Here is a 17,074-nt window from a genome sequence, read left to right on the forward strand (position 1 = left end):
TGAAACTATTCTAACTGGATCTGAGTGGAAGCAGCTGTGTTCTGGACCATTAAGGACTGTTTTCTCTAACAAACCAGGTGTCTCCAAACAGTCAGAATGCCCTGCCTGCTGGGCTTTGGGCCAGCATGCCCAGGTGCAGAAACGTTCTTATCCTGAGAGCTGACAGCTGCCCAGGATCTGGTGGTGAATGGACAAAAGCCCAACCTTGGCACACCCCCAGCCCTGGGGAAGGCCCGAGGGGTCTCAGGTTCTCTGTGGCAGAGGCTGGCAAATCACCAGAGGAAACATGTCTGCTCATCTTTTATTCACTTCCTCATGAGGATGATGGCTGGTGGCAGCTCTCTCTCACAATGGTTACCTCCCCTACCACTGCCCCTGGAAACTAACTAATGGAACCACTCTCCCTATTGTCACTCTAGCCAAAAACCAGAGTCAACCTGAACTTCCCTATCTGCCTCATTTCCACCCTCTCCTCAGACACTAACTCCACTTCCTTAATCTAAATCATATCCATTTCTTCCTATCCCCATCTTCTTTGTCATTTCCCTGCTTTAGGCCCCTAGATGTCTTTGTCTGGTCCTAAAACCATGCCTGGCACATAGTTCTAGGCTTCTAAGCTTCCCCAACCCAATAAGTGGTTCTTTACTTTAGGGGATCACAGACCCTTTTGAGAATCTGATGACAGCCATAAACACTCCCTGGAAAAATATACATTTATCTTGCATACAATTTTAGGAGGCTCATGGAGCTCATTAAACCCATTCATTGTCTCCCTAAGGGACTACAGTCCCCAGCTTGTGAAAACATCGAGGAGGAAGAGCCCTGACTCTCTAAGGGACAGTGAGATTGACGACAAAAACTTACAATGAGATGGGAGCTGGGATGCAGGGTGGTTCTCAGAGGCTGCTGGGCAGCTGCCTGCATCATGAATCTTTCAATCAGCAGCCAGGGTGGGGTCCATCTTCTGTGAACTTCTTTTATCAAAAAGAGCTAAGCAAGCTACAGAAGCTATCTGGCCATTGTCATAGTGGCATATTGTTGCAAAATTTAAAATAGGTAAAACCCATTTTATTTCCTTTTCAAATCCTCATCCTTTTTACTACATGGGCCCCTCTTTCCCTCACCCACAAGGCTCCCTTGTCCCTGTGTCCAAATTCCTTCTCCCCTGACTCCTGGATCAATATATATTTGGTCCTTCCTTACTCTCTCCCTTGCAGTTGCCCATATCTGCAATGACTTTTCCCTCCTCTTCCCAATCCACTTGGTCAAGACTTGCAACCTTCTAACTCGGTTCAACTTTCTAATAAATTAGAAAAGAGCACTAAGAAAGAAACTATAGAAGTAAACTATAACTTATAGAAATATTTTCCTTTCCAGGTGTTTTTGTTAGGTTATCTAATTTGGTTCTCATGCTTTTCAGATGAGGCTACTGACATTCAGAGAAGTTATGGAACCTCTTTCAGGTCAGAAAGTTAATGATCCAAATAAATGTCAAAGTAACAAGGTTTCAGACAGTGTGTGTGGAGAAAAATTTTAAGTCACGGGAGAGGGCATTTCAGAGCAGCATTTTGGGTTCTGAAGCCTTCTATGTACACTTAGGCCCACATATGATCTGACATTTTGGTAGCTTTGTGTGTGCTGTATTCATCTATAGAAATTTCAATCACATTTGGCTTCCAGAATATACTTTGATCAGTAGCCCTTCTGTCAGGCAAAACCTCTCAGGCCATGCCATATGTTCCTGAGATCTTAGAGACACGTCCATTCCATACCTCCTTCTGGAGTATTAAAGACTCTGTCAGGGCTGGCTGGGCCCTCCCCTTTCCCATTGACCACTCGGACATTCAGTGTGTAGTGGCTAAAGGGCTCTAGCCCCGGCAACATGCCATGAGTCTTGCTGCCTTGGAAGGTGAGGATCTTTTTCTCAATGTGACGTCTGTTTCTTTTAGATGAACTCTGGGTCTTCCAATAGTAAATCTGAAACAGCAAGAACGAAAGTCAGGAATGCAGAAAGGAGCAAACAAGATTCCTTATGCTCACAAAATTGAAACTGTTGTTTTTCCAGAAAATTCCGTTGGTATATTTTAGAAGAAAATTACTAGCAAAACTGATGGATATTGATTCTGAGGCAAGAGGAATAGAAGCCCATAGATCATGAGGGAAATTAAATTACAGCCACATGACAAAGCTGGGCTACACTACTTTGTCGTAGGAGTCTAAGGAAAATGAAAACAGCACGAGACCCATGTGGTTTTCTCTAGAACATGAGGCAAATGGAGGACAATAGGATTTAAGTCTTTTACTTGTATAAAATATTCTAAAAATAAAAATTACTGCCCAATGTTTACATATTTTTCCAGAATTAATACATGTTCACGTACAACCTATCATGTAGTGATTGTAAACACCACAGTGAGGCTTTTATTACTGTTATTCATATGGTGCAGATGAACGTGTGGGCTACTAAGTGACTTTCACAGCCACAGAGGTATCAAGAGCCACAGGGGATCCTCCACTGAAAGTCTAGAATTTTTCCACTAAATCAAACTGTATCACTTAGTTTAAAATACTTTTTTTTGTATTCGATTGCAGGCACAGGTTTTGGAGAGATGGATAAGAAAGTACTGATTAATTTTGGTCACAAATCCAGAATTGTTGTTTACTAAGTCTTCTTAAATTCTTATGAATTTAAAGGCATTTTCAGGAGAAGTCAACATTTACATGGAATCTGGCAATGCTAGGGGGAAAAAAAAAAAGTTGAATGTGATGTAGTACAAAAAGTGACCTCTAGGGGTCAGGCTTAACAAATCAAAGTAGTGACTGTACGCTTGGCTGCCTATCAGTAAAAAATATGAAATCAGTGCCTCTCAAGAACAAAGATAATGGATATTTATCTTTCAGTACTTCTCAAGAACAAAGATAATGGATATTTATAAGAATGACCTAGCTAAGAGTATATGGTCTTAAAGTATATTCTGAATTATTTTAAAAATGCCTAAATGATTATCAGGATAATTTTGTGTGTTCAACACATGTGGTCCATATTGCTTTAAAGCTAGCTAGAGTTGGTAATATTCTAGGTCTTTAAAAAATTAATTTTCCCCATTTTGTATACATACTTAGTTGGTAGAATGTTAGATCATCAGTGGGAAAAATGGAGAAAACTTTTTTTTTTTTTAATTTTGGATGCAGTGAGATTTCAAGTCAACTCTGGCAGTGGCTACCTGAGGCAATGAGCGAAATGAACTCTTCAGTCCACAAGTTCACAAAGCAATGAAACAAATAAGCCCCACCTCCTGTGGTATGCATGACAAGTGGCATTCGCTGCAGCCCTTACTAAATAAAGCCACAAAAGGTCCCCTTTCACTTGCCCGATAGCCTTGTAGGTGTCCTCGGATGCTTTTCAGAGGTACTGGGTCCCAGTGCACCTCGGCTAAGGTACTGTTCACCACATTCACACGCACGTTCCCAGGAGCCACCATTGGGACTAGGAAAAGGACAGGGAAGTGGTAGAAGTATCAATGTTATTTTTAATTTCATCCATAAATATGACTCTCTCTAATAATTTTGGCTTGAAGCATACTGCAGACCTATTCTATGGATTATTAAGGCTTGAACACAGATTTTGGGGTATCTGTTTGACTTTGTGAGAGATTTTTTTTTTTTAAGAGATGGCATCTTGCTATGTTGCCCAGGCTAGACTCAAATTCCTTGACTCAAGGGATCCTCCCACCATCAGTGAGTAGGAAAACACGATTTTTTAAAAAGTACAATTGACCCTTGAACAACACGGGTTTGAACTGCATGGGTCCACTTACACTTGGATTTTTTTTTCCCCCCAAAATACAGTCAGCCCTCTACATCTGCAGGTTCTGCATCTACAGCCAAAGAAGATGGAAAACACAGTATTCCTGGGTGCAAAACCCACGGACATGGAGGGCTGATATTTCATATAGGAGGGTTCCATAGGGCTATCTGTGGGACTTGAGTATTTGCAGATTTGGGTATCCAAGGCAGGGCATCCTGGAACCAATCCCCTGTGGATACCAAGGGACAACTATACTGCAATCACCTTGAACGTTCTGAACTTCTCTTTCTTACACAGCAGGCTGTTTAAATTCAGAGAAGTCGTGCAAAATAATTGCCACCTCCCTCCCTTGCAACCTGAGCAAGGAGAAATGGCCTTGGCTTGCACCTTGGTAAGTCTGTTTTGCTGGGGAAAAGTAGGAAATGGCATCACTTACGGTCTTCTCCAGAATGTCCCATGACTACAGCTGGCTCGGGGGCAAACCCCATGTCATTCAGGGCCTGAACTTTGATCAGGTATGGAACAAAGGTTGGCGTGCCTGAGACAATATATTTGGATACATTTGCCACAACCACAGATGTCCATTCATCATCACCATCTTTCTGGCGCCAGCTAACTTTGTACTGAAGGCCTGGCCCATTAGATTCGAAACCATTCAAGGGCTACAAGGAAAGCCAAATAACCAGAGCTTATAACACAAATCAACTGCACAATCTTTTACAGGAACAGCAAATTCAATTCCCAGACCTACAGAAAGTGATCATTGAAATACTAAAACACAAGCTATTAACCATTTTCTCCAGGGACCTTCTATCAATTGTGCATTTGCAATGAGATTCAAAGCTTGTTTGGGATCAACATTTCAAAGGTTGTAAACTACTATCTTGATGCAATAAATATCACATAAACCTTTCAAACTCTGGCTCTACCGTCAAGGATGGTGATTCTTTAGACATTTCGGTCACATAGAATCCTTTTTATATTCCTGTTTGTGCAATAGTACATCATTGTCCATTTTATTTGCAGATGGAAACTTAGACTGTTTTCCTCTTTATTAAAAAAAGGCTAGCCTGTCATTCTGTTGTTTCTACATGTTTGTATAAATATAAGTATGTACATATATGTATACATGTCTAAGTATGCATGTATGGCTCTAAAATAGGTTTTGAATTATGAGTAAATATATGTTAATTTTCCAAATCCAGAAAACACAGATAAGCTTTCCCCACTAAAGAAGTTGACTGCTGGGAATGGCTTGGTGCATGTCTTCCAGGTGGCTCTTTTTTTTTCTTTTTGGAGATGGAATCTTGCTCTGTCACCCAGGCTGGAGTGCAGTGGTGTAATCTCGGCGCACTGCAACCTCCGCCTCCTGGGTTCAAGCGATTCTCCTGCCTCAGCCTCCTGAGTAGCTGGGATTACAGGCATGCAGCACTACACCCGGCTAATTTTTGTATTTTTAGTAGAGACGGGGTTTCACCATGTTGGTCAGGCTGGTCTCAAACTCCTGACCTCATGATCTGCCCGCCTCGGCCTCCCAAAGTGCTGGGATTATAGGCGTGAGCTACTGGCCCCAGGTGGTTCTTTATGATAACACTAGCTAGCATTTTTTTGAGCATGTGTATATGCTAGGCACTGTTCTAGGTGCTTTATATGTATTAGCTCCTTTAATACTGTGAAATTGGTTCTATTATTACTCCCATCATACAGCTGCCTAACAGACATGTTAAACAACTGGCCTAAGATCACAGAGTTAGTGGCAGAGCTGGGATTTGCACCAAATCATTTTGACTCCAGAGCTCAAGCTTTTAGCAACTATATAATACTGCCTCTTAAGTAAAGATATATATGTATCTTTATATATATATATATATTTTTTTTCCCCAGAAATAGGTGAAATGAGATTCTAATGTAGATATTATTTTCAAACAACTTTTTTTTCACTCTAAAAAATAGCGAATAAATTTGAAGGCATCATAGCTCACCTTCCACGTAATCACCAAATTATCAGGCTCTGATCCCAGTCCTTCCACAGCTGTGGGGTTTTTATCTGGTTCTGGAAGTTAAGCAGCCACACATGTGTAAGCTTTGGCCTTTTGCGAAGAGTGGAAAACTTTTTTATTATATTTCGTACCCTAGAAGTCCCGCTTTCCCGCTTTACCTGAGGCTTTCGTCAAATACTGCTCAGACGCCTCGCTGGGCAAGCTCTTCCCAATGCTGTTCACTGCCATCACGCGGAAGGAGTAGTTCACGTAAGGAGACAGCTTCAGCTGGGCTGTGGTCTGTGTTCCAGAAACTTCAGTTTGGTGGTGCCACAGCCCTGGCTTGTGCATTGCATCTTCATATTCGATGATGAATTCTGGTCACGACACACACACACCAAACCCAAGACCGTGAATTCAGTCAACTCAGGGGTAGCTGCCAGCAATAACTAACAGGGCAACCCAACACAAGCAACCAAACATGAATTATTTTACTTTCAAGAAAAATGCCATTAAAATATTTTGATTTCAGAGTTGTCATTATCCTCAACATATAAACACACATGATAACATTTTAGTGGAAAAATGGCATCTCACTGTATTTAATTTAATTTCTCCTATTACAAAAAAAATTTGACCACCTTTTCATATATTTAAACTTTTTAGGGATATATGGATTAATTCTAAACAGTTTTAGATTTTACCAAATCTGGTATTCTTTCTCTAGCATGCTGAATTTAGTTACTTAAAACTGTTTAGAATTAATCCATATATCCCTAAAAAGTTTAAATATATGAAAAGATGATCAAATTTTTTTCATAATAGGATAAATTAAATATAGTGAGTGCCATTTTCCACTAAACATATTGGCAATAATCAAAGGTTTAACACACTTCGTTGACTATGACACAAGGAATCAAGCATTCTCTGACTTTGTAGGAAGTGTAAGTTGGGACAACTTCTATATAAGACAGTTTAGAAAATCTGTCAATATTTAAGGCGCATACTAAATTTCACTTCTGGCAATTTATTTTGAATAAATGGGCTCACACAAATGGCTCAAACACACATGAGAAATAATTTACATTGTAGTATTATTTGCAATTGAAACAACCTAATTGCAAACAACCTAAACATCCATCAACAGGACACTGACTAAACAAATTACACTAGGTCCACACAATGGAATACTCTGAAGCTGTTAAAAATGACTGTCAGCCAAGTGCGGTGGCTCACACCTGTAATCTCAGCACTTTGGGAGACCCAGGTGGATGGAGTCCAGGAGTCTGAGACAACCTGGGCAACCTAGCAAAACCCCGTCTCTACAGAAAGTTAACTGGGTGTGGTGGCGTGCACCTATAGTTCCAGCTATGGGGGAGGCTGAGCTAGGAGGATCACCTGAGCCCAGAAAGTCAAGGCTGCAGTGAACCATGATCAAGCCACTGCACTCCAGCCTGGACAGAGTGAAACCCTGTCTCAAAAAAGAGAGAGAGAGAGGAAAAAAAAAAAAAAAGAATAGGGCTGTTCCATACGTACTGAAATGGAATGATTTCTAAAGTGTATTATTAAGTGAAACCAAGCAGCCAAGCAGGGTATAGAATCGTGTGTGCTGGATACTATGCTTGTGTAAATGTAAAACGAAATTACTACAACAAATAAACAGACATATTCACTTGCATATAAATGCATATTACCTCTCAGAGAATATAAACCTATAACATTGGTGTGGCCAGAGGAGCTGGGAGACAGGGGCGGGAGGAAGACATATTTTTCAGTGCATACCCTCTGCGTCCACTAAAATTCTGTGGTGTGTACACACTTTACCCTTGTAAAATAATAGGTATTTGGATATTCACTGATTGCCTACTATGTGCCAGGTACCATGATATGCACTATAAACACAAAGATGAACTAAAAATATTATATGTCTTGCAGTGGTTCAAAACTAAGTCCTTGGAGTTCTCCTTTCAATCCACATTCATCTTTGGATGATCTCCAGTCCTATAAATGGATGACTTTCATGTTTACATCTGTAGCCCAGACCTCTTCCCTGAACTGCAGACTCAGGAAGTCCAACTGTCTGCTCGACAATTCCACTTGGTTGTCCATGACAGCATCTCAAACTGGATAGTACCAAAACTAATTCTAATCTTCCTCTCCAATTGATAGTGACAGCCCAGGTCAAAATCTGGAATCCTTCTTATTTCCCTACTTCTTCCACACTCTCTGTAGTACAATGGCCTGTACCATTAAAATATATCCAAAATCTGACCATTTCTCAGCCTATTCCAGGCCACCCTCATCTCTTGTGTGAGTTATCACATAACCTCCTAACTCAGTAGTTCCCAAACTTTCTCGGTTCATGGTGTACTTAGTGTCTCCATAATTTATTTTTCATGGCTCCCTTAGGCCAAAAGAATTACCTAATGTTTTCAGGTATTAAGTAGCTAGGTTCATACATCTTTATATGTATTTATATCTTAAATAAATGTAAGCAATTTAATTTTAAACAATTTTAAATCTATTTATATCTTAACATTGTAAAGCTTCTCTTATATAAGTTCTCAAACCTTGTAAACAGATTGGACACCACCTTCCACATTTCCTATTCCCCACTGATTTCCATGTGGCACTTGCTTTTTATCACAGCAAACGCTTTGCAGAGATATAACATTATCACAAAATGACATGGGATATAAAGTTGAACCTGTAATCTGCCTCAAGCTAATTTCATGTGACGTTTGACAGATGTCACTGTGTTTTTTTAATATCAGAATTTAAAAGTTAAAACTTTAAAATTATTCCAAGGAAGGTACCCTGTGAATTCACTGAAGTACCACAGGGCACTTCAGTGCACAGTTTGGGAACCATGGTCTTACCCAGTCTGTCTGCTTCCCCTCTTGTTCTTCTATACACTATTTTCAATAGACAAGCCAGAGTTATTCATTCATCACTCCTCTGTTAAAACCCTCCAAGGGCTTTCCCATCTTCACAGTGGCCTACAGGACCTTGCACAATTCCCACTCTACACACCCACCACCGAACTCTTCAGCTCTTTGACCTTCTCTCCGCCCTCACTTTCCCTTTTTCATTTCACTGCAGCCACACTGGCATCCTAGCAGACATGCCCTGTCTTAGGGCCTTTGCTCTTTTCCTTTGCTCTTGCTGGAAAGTTCTTCCCCTAGACAACTGCATAGTGTGCTCACTGACCTCCCTCCCCTGTCTTGATTGACACATTCAAATGTTCTTTTAGTGTGGCCTTTCCTATTCACACTATTCACAATTATACCCCTAGCTCCACATGTCTTTCTGCTGATTTGTTTTTTGCATGCCCTAAACACATATAAACACAGTCATATGTATTAATAGATATATATGAGTTTGAGTCCTCTAGGGAGCAAAGGCTAAGACAGAATTAGAAGTGCAAGAGGTGGCCGGGCGCAGTGGCTCACGCCTGTAATCCCAGCACTTTGGGAGGCCGAGGCGGGTGGATCACGAGGTCGGGAGATTGAGACCATTCTGGCTAGTACGGCAAAACCCCATCTCTACTAAAAATACAAAAAAAAAAGTAGCCGGGTGTGGTGGCGGGCGCCTGTAGTCCCAGCTACTCGGGAAGCTGAGGCAGGAGAATGGCGTGAACCCGGGAGGCAGAGCTTGCAGTGAGCCGAGATCGCGCCACTGCACTCCAGCCTGGGCAACAAAGCGAGACTCCGTCTCAAAAAAAAAAGAAGTGCAAGAGGTCTATTTGGGAAAATGTCCATGGAAGAAAAAAGGGAGAGGAAGCAAGGAAGCCTGAAGGAGGGAAGACCTTCAGACCACAATGCTGGTCTGACATCTGTAACAGGAAGTGGGGGAGGGAAGGAGGAGTGAGTAGAAGAAGCCTCAGACTACAGTATAGTATAGCTCTGGGATAGTCTCAGCCAGGTCAACCAGGAGCCCAGAGTACAGTCTACACAGGAGGAGTTCTGCATTAGGCACGTGTGACTTCTGGGACCTTTGCTGTGCCCAGTCACTGGAGCACCCCAAGGAGCATGGCCTCACGTGAACTCTGCAGTGGAGCCTTAGAGAAGGAGAAGCAGATGGAGGCTGTGGGTTAACACTCCTTACAGCAGGTTCGCCCTTGAAGGTAGATCTGAGTCCTCTGTGTGTGTGTGTGTGTGTGTATATATACATATGTTTACATGCAGATATAATGAAATTATGCTTAATAATGTATTATTAATTTTATCTTATTTATATCCTCATCTAAAATATAAGCTCCATTACCACAGAGATTTTTGACTATTTTGTTTTAGAACAATGTCTGGCACACAGTAGGCACTCAAAAATATCTGTTGAATGAATGAGTAAATGAATGAAAGAGTAGAAATGCCTTGAAATCTAATGGTATTATTTTAATATAGGAAAAAAGAGTCTCCAAGCCATCTAACCAGCTAACTCTGGCTAATGTACCCAATGAGCTAGAAGACTGGGCCTGGATGAATTTGTGTTCTGATCAAGGACATTGAACACTCAAGTAGGGAAAAGAGCACCATTAAACAACACAAGATAGAGGAGGGGCTTTTGTTAAATTTTAGTGGAAATATTCTACTTTACCAGGAGGTGCAATAAATCAACACACCTATCATTTCAGAATCATCTTAGGTAGTCATCAGAAAGGAATTGTCTTCCTGCGGTATATGCCTGAAGGTAATAATGTATTTCAGGCATGTGACCTGATTGTGTCTGCCTCTTAAGTATCTCTTTGGTTTTACAATTCAACTTCGAAGCTTACCTATAGTCTAATTTTATTATGCTCTTCTAGTATCCTTATGACATTGTCCTTCCTTATCTTATTTCCTAGGCCCTAGGCTTGTGTCACCAACGTGAGAAGCTCACATTGTTGAATGGGCAACTTTGTAGCAGGGACTAATGGAAAGAAAGAGACCTAGGTTGGAAGTTAAGGTAGAACCTGTTATCTACGCCCAGTTCTGTTACCAACAGGGGGTTGAAAAGTTACTTTACTCATCAAGTATCAGTTTCCTAATAGGAAGACAGAGCTATTCAGCACTTGCTCCTCCTAACATTTTCTCCCAGAAGAAATGGGCAAAATAAACAACTAACTTAAGGTGTATCTTCCTACATGGTAGATATTTAAAGTGATTTTTATGGATCTTAAACACAAATGACAGTGTATTTGATTAGTCAACATCTTCAGCAATTAAGGGGTGTCCTATTCTAGAAGGTGTAACCAGGAATAGTTTCAGCTCTGAAGAGAGGAAGGACATAAATAAATATTTTTATTCTATCAGTAATGAAGCAGAGAATCCCAGTAAATACCTTTGTGAGGAAATTCAGCTGACTGTTACAAAGTGCTTCAAACATGGCCATTTAGTTGATCGGAAATAGAGCAAATAATACCACATACTTGTAATGGGGCTATTGTTGTCATCGCCTGGGGTCCATGACAGCTGAACACTTTTGTCAAGTTGATCTGTCAGTTCTAAGTCAAAGGGAGGATTTGGGACATCTGTAGACCAAACATACACACATCATGGTCACGCATCCATCTTTAAGAGGCTCTCCTTTACTCGTGATACTATTCACAGAGGGGACATCTTAAAGACACAGCACACTTGATAGTCAATGAGCATGCAACTGAAAGGAAATGTGCACAGCTGAGGCTGCTGGGAACACACGAACACACACAAGATAACCCATCAATGAGTTCTGCTCACTTGTTTTTCAAAGGAAACGAAAGCATTTGTAACCAAACCCAGTGAAGCAGACACATGTGGTTCATCAGCACTCTCAGCGTTTCTTCTCATAAACATGAATGGGCACAAACATGAAAAATAATAAGCTTAATTTCTAATACATGGGAAATAGAGAAAGCAACTGCTGAAAAAAGAAATACAGGCAAATAAAAGGTGCTGTTTAAAGAAAATTCAAATGTTCTTTCTAAAAAAAATGCTGAATAACAGATTTTGGGGCTCTGAAAGAATATTTATATTTGCGAAAGAATGCTGAAATAGATGCTATGGAGGTAGCCCTCAGCATGCATAAGTGTGTTTACTCCCAGAGGACAACAGTGTATAGACAGACACATGTCGAGATGAAGGTGTCCTAGAAGCATGTCTGCCTCTTCTAATGGTGCTTCTGAGATCCAGAGAGTTACTGTTCCCCCCAGGCCTTTATTTGACCTTGCTCCTAGGAGTATCTCTGGCTCTTAGGGGACCAGAGACCATACAAATATATGTGCTTTTTTTTCTTATCAGTCATAAAGCAGTAAATGTCTACAAAGCACAGGTTTTATATTGGATAATTAGACACAATATTAATAATATTGTGCAAAATCAGCTGAGATGCCAAAAATTGATTTTTGTATTGACGTACTGAATAAAGATGAAGGTTCTCTAAATAAAAAGATTTCTGGAAATGATTTCTGACTTATTTTCCAGATTCTAAAAAGCCACACAACATAAATGTGCCCCTCCTTTTGGTCTTTCTTGAGTGATTTGTCTTTTGTTAACACATGGTGAGTCGGTTTTCTCTGATATAAAAGTTAAATGTTGTTCTAAACATCTATTTTTCCCCATATACATTTCTTGAAAATGGAATCCCAAAACAAGATTTTTCCCAAACAACTTTTAATAAATTGAGATGAAAGCCTAATTTGTAGAATGATATTAGAAATAGCTTTTTCATTCTGTAAAATGTGGATGATGGCTTTTGAAAAAGCACTATGCTACTTTAAAAGGAAATTGCATCAAAGAGGGACTTTTATCAAACGAAGTGATTTTATAATAGCACATGAACTATTTAGAAAGAACTGGCAACGAACTTGGTGAAAAATCTGTGGTTATGATGAAGAAATGATTCATTGTCAGTAAATGGGTGACACAACATAACAACTGACAGAGACCTTTTCCTTAAGAAACACAATTATGTGACATAGAAAAGAAAGTTATGAATACTTTCTGCAAATGTGAAATTGTTTGACAGAAAACAGAGAAAGAAGACTCATATTAGTTTACCGTAAACGGGAGCTGGAGTTGGAGTAGGAGCTAGAAAGGACATTAATATAAAGGATTTTAATCAAAATTAGTAATGGAAAGATACAAGATAGCACAAGATGACAAAGACTGTACATTATTCAAGGTTATAAAATTAAGCCCTATGCTTAGCTGTGAGACACAGCATTGATAAACATGCAGTAACAATTTAGGAAAAAAAACCTTCAATTTTAGATACAAGTAGATCATTTCTCCTTATTTTATTACAAAAAAGGTTACTAATGTGCATATCCACCATTTCACCCAGTGCTGCTACACAGTCTATTTATACTGAAATTATTGCCTCCAAGGCATCTTTCAAAGAAGAAAAACATGGGTATGAACTCACCCATGCATATTAACAAGCAAATATTTGATATTTATAATTTTTATCTTATTTTTTCTTTTCAACCAAATGCAGGGAAGCCAGTTGTGCTATTTTTGTTTTCGTTCTTACCAACAACGCTAAGCACAGCGCTGGCGGAGACGCTGTCCAGAGTGGTGTTGGCCACACACGTGTAGGTCCCGCTGTCATCGTCACTGACATCAGCTACCACTAGATGATCCTTGTCAACAGTGAACCTGTGGATAGAATGCATTCAGAGCAGCTGAAATGGACATGCAGCCGTACCCTATAATTGCTTCACTGGCAGGAAAAAAACTGTAAATTTGATAAAGGAGAAAGATGGTAAACACTTTCAAAAGTTAGAGCAAAATACATATCACTTTAAGAATGATTAAAGTTGAAAAACAATGAGAATCAATTAGAATATTGGGTTAGAAGGGATATGTCCTCTGGCACAGTATTTTTCAACCAGGCCTCTAGAGCACGGGTCCCCAAACCCTGGGCCAAGAACTGGGTACTGTCCTGTTAGGAACTGGGCTGCAGAGGGGACCGCTGCTCTAGAGGGTGTGGTAGGAGTTTCCTTAGGCCCCAGGGGAATGGGGCGAGTGAAGCTGAGCTCCGCCTCCTGTCAGATTAGTGGCAGCATTAGATTCTCACAGGAAGGTGAACCCTATTGTGAACTGTGCAAGTGAGAGATCTAGATCTAGACTGTGCTCTCCTATGACAATCTAATGCCTGATGATCTGTCACTGTATATATTACATGTAATAATATATATATGTATATACATATTACAACATAATAATAATAGAAATAAAGTGCACAGTAAATGTAATGTGCTTGAATCATCCTGAAGCCATTGTGCCCCCACCCTGTCCGTGGAAAAACTGTCTTCCATGAAACCAGTCCCTGGTGCCAAAAAGGTTGGGGACCACTGCTCTAGAGGGAGAGGAAGGAGCTTCCTTAAGTTCCCAGGGGAAGGAGGCGAAGAATAGTTCCAGCATTAGCCTTACTAAAGGGCTTTACTAAGGCTTTTGCTGCCAAGAAACATTGGAAAACCACTCATTCAGTTCAATTTCTATCAAAGTATATATTTTAAATACTTTATTATTTACTGCAGAAAATCATGTCATTTTCTTACATGTATAAACTCTCATAGGAGAAATTAAATGCAAAGAATAATAATTTGCTTTATCACTAGAAACAGGAAGATTTAGATGAACAATCTCTCTAAGACTTTTCTAGAGGGAACTTGTGGGCATGAAAAATTGCTCAGTAGATCAAAAAATTAATGTATAGAGAATTAGTGTATTATTTTAATGAAACTGCCTAAGTCATAAACTGTCTTCTCAGTTAATTTCCAAGTAAAAGCTTCAGCCACCTTAACCTGATGGTCATTTCTTTATGTTTCCTTTTAATCTTAAAGACAGGGTCTCACTCTGTCACCCAGGCTGGAGTGCAGTGGTACAGTCATGGCTCACTGGAGTCTCAACCTTCTGGGCCCAGGTAATTCTCCCACCTCAGCCTCCCAGGTAGCTGGGACCACAGGTGTGAGACCACCACACCTTTTCATCTTTATCAACTCAACAAATAAAATTGACTAGTTCAAGCATAAAATTAGATGGAGACTCTAGGCACATAAAAGAGAAGGCCACAGAGTTCTTCCAGGGTCATTGACAAGCAACAGGGCAATATTTAGGCACCACAATTTTAGGTCAGCTGTAGGTGAACCACACAAATGATTTCGACCAGAATACAGCATTCCTTCTAATAGAGAGTGAGGCCTATAGCCACTTTGCTAAAACTAACACATATCTACTCTGTACTACTATGTCAAATTGAGGGTCTCATCTGGAAAATGCCATGACCTTTCTTCCATTCTTAATGAAATCTGCAGCATGCTTGGGCTCTTTTAAATGCTCTACCTGTTTTTGTTTTTCCTTCCCCTTTCACTGGCTTTAGGTAAAATCAAAAGAAAAACTCCCTATCCAAATAAAAACGAGTGTCTTAAAATACTGACAAGGATTTGAGCAGTCTTTGGTGATTAAAGAGGTCATATTTCTGCTTATTTGTAGAAAGGTAATGAAAACATCTGTTGAGACTTCGCTGTTCAAGGTATAAAACAATGGATGCTGTCCAGGCCTGAGGGTTTTTTCCCATCCTGAATTACACAAGAGACCAGCACGCAAAGATAGACAAACATTCTCAGGGTCCTATTTCAATCACCTGATACCTTCTTGGGTGCATATATTTTACAGTAGGGAGAAAATGCTTATCTCTCTATTTTGGAGACAGCAGACTTCAGAAACTAAAAACATCACCATAATTGACTACATAGTAGACCTTTAGTTCAAGAATAGCTTAAAGAAAGAATGAAGAGAAAGTAAAGAAATCGTCTTCAAATACCTTTCATCACTGGGCAGTTCCCTGTTGTCCTTCAGCCACAGGACAGTGAGGGATAAGGTGTGATCATGTTTCACTTTGCATTCAAAGGACACCATGCTCCCTCTTTGCACAACTGCATATTCGGGCTGTTTAACGATCCATGTAGGATCTGAAATGTAGAGTCATCGTTATCCATTTGGCAAAGCTGGAGAATTTGTTCAAAGTCATTTAAAAATTAAACACATTACCTCTGCCTTACCTTTGATTTCTAAGTGAACTTCATTCTTCGCCATCCCTAATTTATTCCTTGCAACACACGTATAAGTTCCTGTACTGTCCTTTTGGGCCACAGGAATTTCCAAAGTTCCATTTTCATGTAAAACATAAATATCTTCATGAAGAGCACTTCCTTTAGCTCCTTTAAACCTTCATTACAGAAATTATCACAATGAGAATAAAAACACATTATATTTTGAAGTCAGACATAAAATGCCATGTTCAAGGTCAACATGACCATGATGAATGTGAAAGTTGCAAGGCTAGAAGGATTGTACTTTTGAAAGTATCAATAGGAAAATAACCAGGGAAGAAAAAAAGGCATGTATGTCAGAGAGGAGAAGTGAAACGGATGAAACAAAGTGAGTGTGAATCTGTTACCTTCACTAGGAAAATCATCTGCATAAGCATCCATTTTTCTTCTCTGGGGTTAAGGTAGGGGCCAAGGGAAATTTTCCTTTAATCTTAACCCTGCATATATTCTGACCTCAGTAGTTGGAACTTAGCACAGCATCTAGGACCTGACAGATGATCAGTAAAGAATGTTCCAGTTTTCTTTCATTCATTCCTTCTGAGCCATTGCTCATCCATCCTAGCCTTGTCTCTTTCAGCTAAAGTAAACAAGCTAGGAGGAGGTAGAGGACTTAAACCTCGGGTGGCATATGAAAGGGGATGGTCTGAAGTGGGGAGTAAAAGAACATGGGAGAGCTTGGCTGGATCCAAGTCAGGAAGACCTGGTGCAACAAGTACTCAAGAGAAACAATGGTAAGAACAAATTCTGCTTTGGAGCTTATAGAACCCCCCCACTATACCACAGAATATTTTATTATCAAGGAATATCCCCTAACTAGTCCCTCCAGCCACTACTCACAAAATCCCAGGGGATGTCCATGGCATTGTGAAATACAGCAGCCTTAAATTTAAAAAAAAATCATTTACATGTAGATCTGTGCTTGATAGAGTGTGCTGCTAAATAGATTATACACATGAAAGTATTTAACACAGAGCCAGTAGTTAATAAATATTTGTGAAATAATGAATGAATTTAATAATTAACAGTGTAGGCCAAGCACAGTGGCTCATACCTATAATCCCAGCACTTTGGGAGGCTGAGGCGGGCGGATAATCTGAGGTTACGAGTTTGAGATTAGCCTGGCCAACATGGTGAAACCCTAAAAATACAAAAAATTAGCCAGGTGTGGTGGTAGGCGGCTGTAGGCCCAGATACTCTAGAGGCTGAGGCAGG

General features: G+C 40.1%; 1 protein-coding gene across 107 annotated transcripts in view, besides 2 other annotated features; it reads right to left on the reverse strand.

Annotated features, from left to right (window-relative positions):
* Window positions 1–17,074, reverse strand: part of NRCAM (neuronal cell adhesion molecule) — a 309,072-nt gene that overhangs the window by 30,802 nt on the left and 261,196 nt on the right. For 69 of the 107 annotated variants that reach the window (NR_163867.1, NR_163869.1, NR_163868.1 and 66 more), the window contains 10 exons: window positions 15,812–15,978; window positions 15,574–15,721; window positions 13,279–13,403; window positions 12,804–12,833; window positions 11,195–11,296; window positions 5,967–6,164; window positions 5,791–5,861; window positions 4,245–4,470; window positions 3,372–3,487; window positions 1,773–1,977 (listed from right to left, as the gene is read on the reverse strand). Coding sequence is in view for 102 of the 107 variants with exons in the window: in NM_001371122.1 (NP_001358051.1) it covers window positions 1,773–1,977; window positions 3,372–3,487; window positions 4,245–4,470; window positions 5,791–5,861; window positions 5,967–6,164; window positions 11,195–11,296; window positions 12,804–12,833; window positions 13,279–13,403; window positions 15,574–15,721; window positions 15,812–15,978 (1,388 nt within the window). In the remaining 5 variants the exon portion in view is untranslated. Of the gene's footprint in view, window positions 1–1,772; window positions 1,978–3,371; window positions 3,488–4,244; window positions 4,471–5,790; window positions 5,862–5,966; window positions 6,237–11,194; window positions 11,297–12,803; window positions 12,834–13,278; window positions 13,404–15,573; window positions 15,722–15,811; window positions 15,979–17,074 lie in introns of all 107 variants that reach the window. The other 38 variants (NR_163871.1, NM_001371151.1, NM_001371148.1 and 35 more) reach the window with 2 other exon arrangements.
* Window positions 2,819–3,611: an enhancer, noted in NCBI's record as "OCT4-NANOG hESC enhancer chr7:107821713-107822505 (GRCh37/hg19 assembly coordinates)". NCBI's record gives its function as "activates a minimal SCP1, AML or CMV promoter by ChIP-STARR-seq in naive H9 embryonic stem cells {active_cell/tissue: H9 hESC(naive)}" and the evidence as "EXISTENCE:reporter gene assay evidence [ECO:0000049][PMID:30033119]".
* Window positions 13,253–13,434: a silencer, noted in NCBI's record as "fragment chr7:107832147-107832328 (GRCh37/hg19 assembly coordinates)". NCBI's record gives its function as "represses an EF-1alpha promoter that drives an FKBP-Casp9 reporter gene in an ReSE screen in HepG2 liver carcinoma cells {active_cell/tissue: HepG2}" and the evidence as "EXISTENCE:reporter gene assay evidence [ECO:0000049][PMID:32094911]".

The sequence above is a fragment of the Homo sapiens genome, chromosome 7 (assembly GCF_000001405.40).
Source record: "Homo sapiens chromosome 7, GRCh38.p14 Primary Assembly".
NCBI lineage: Eukaryota > Metazoa > Chordata > Mammalia > Primates > Hominidae > Homo > Homo sapiens.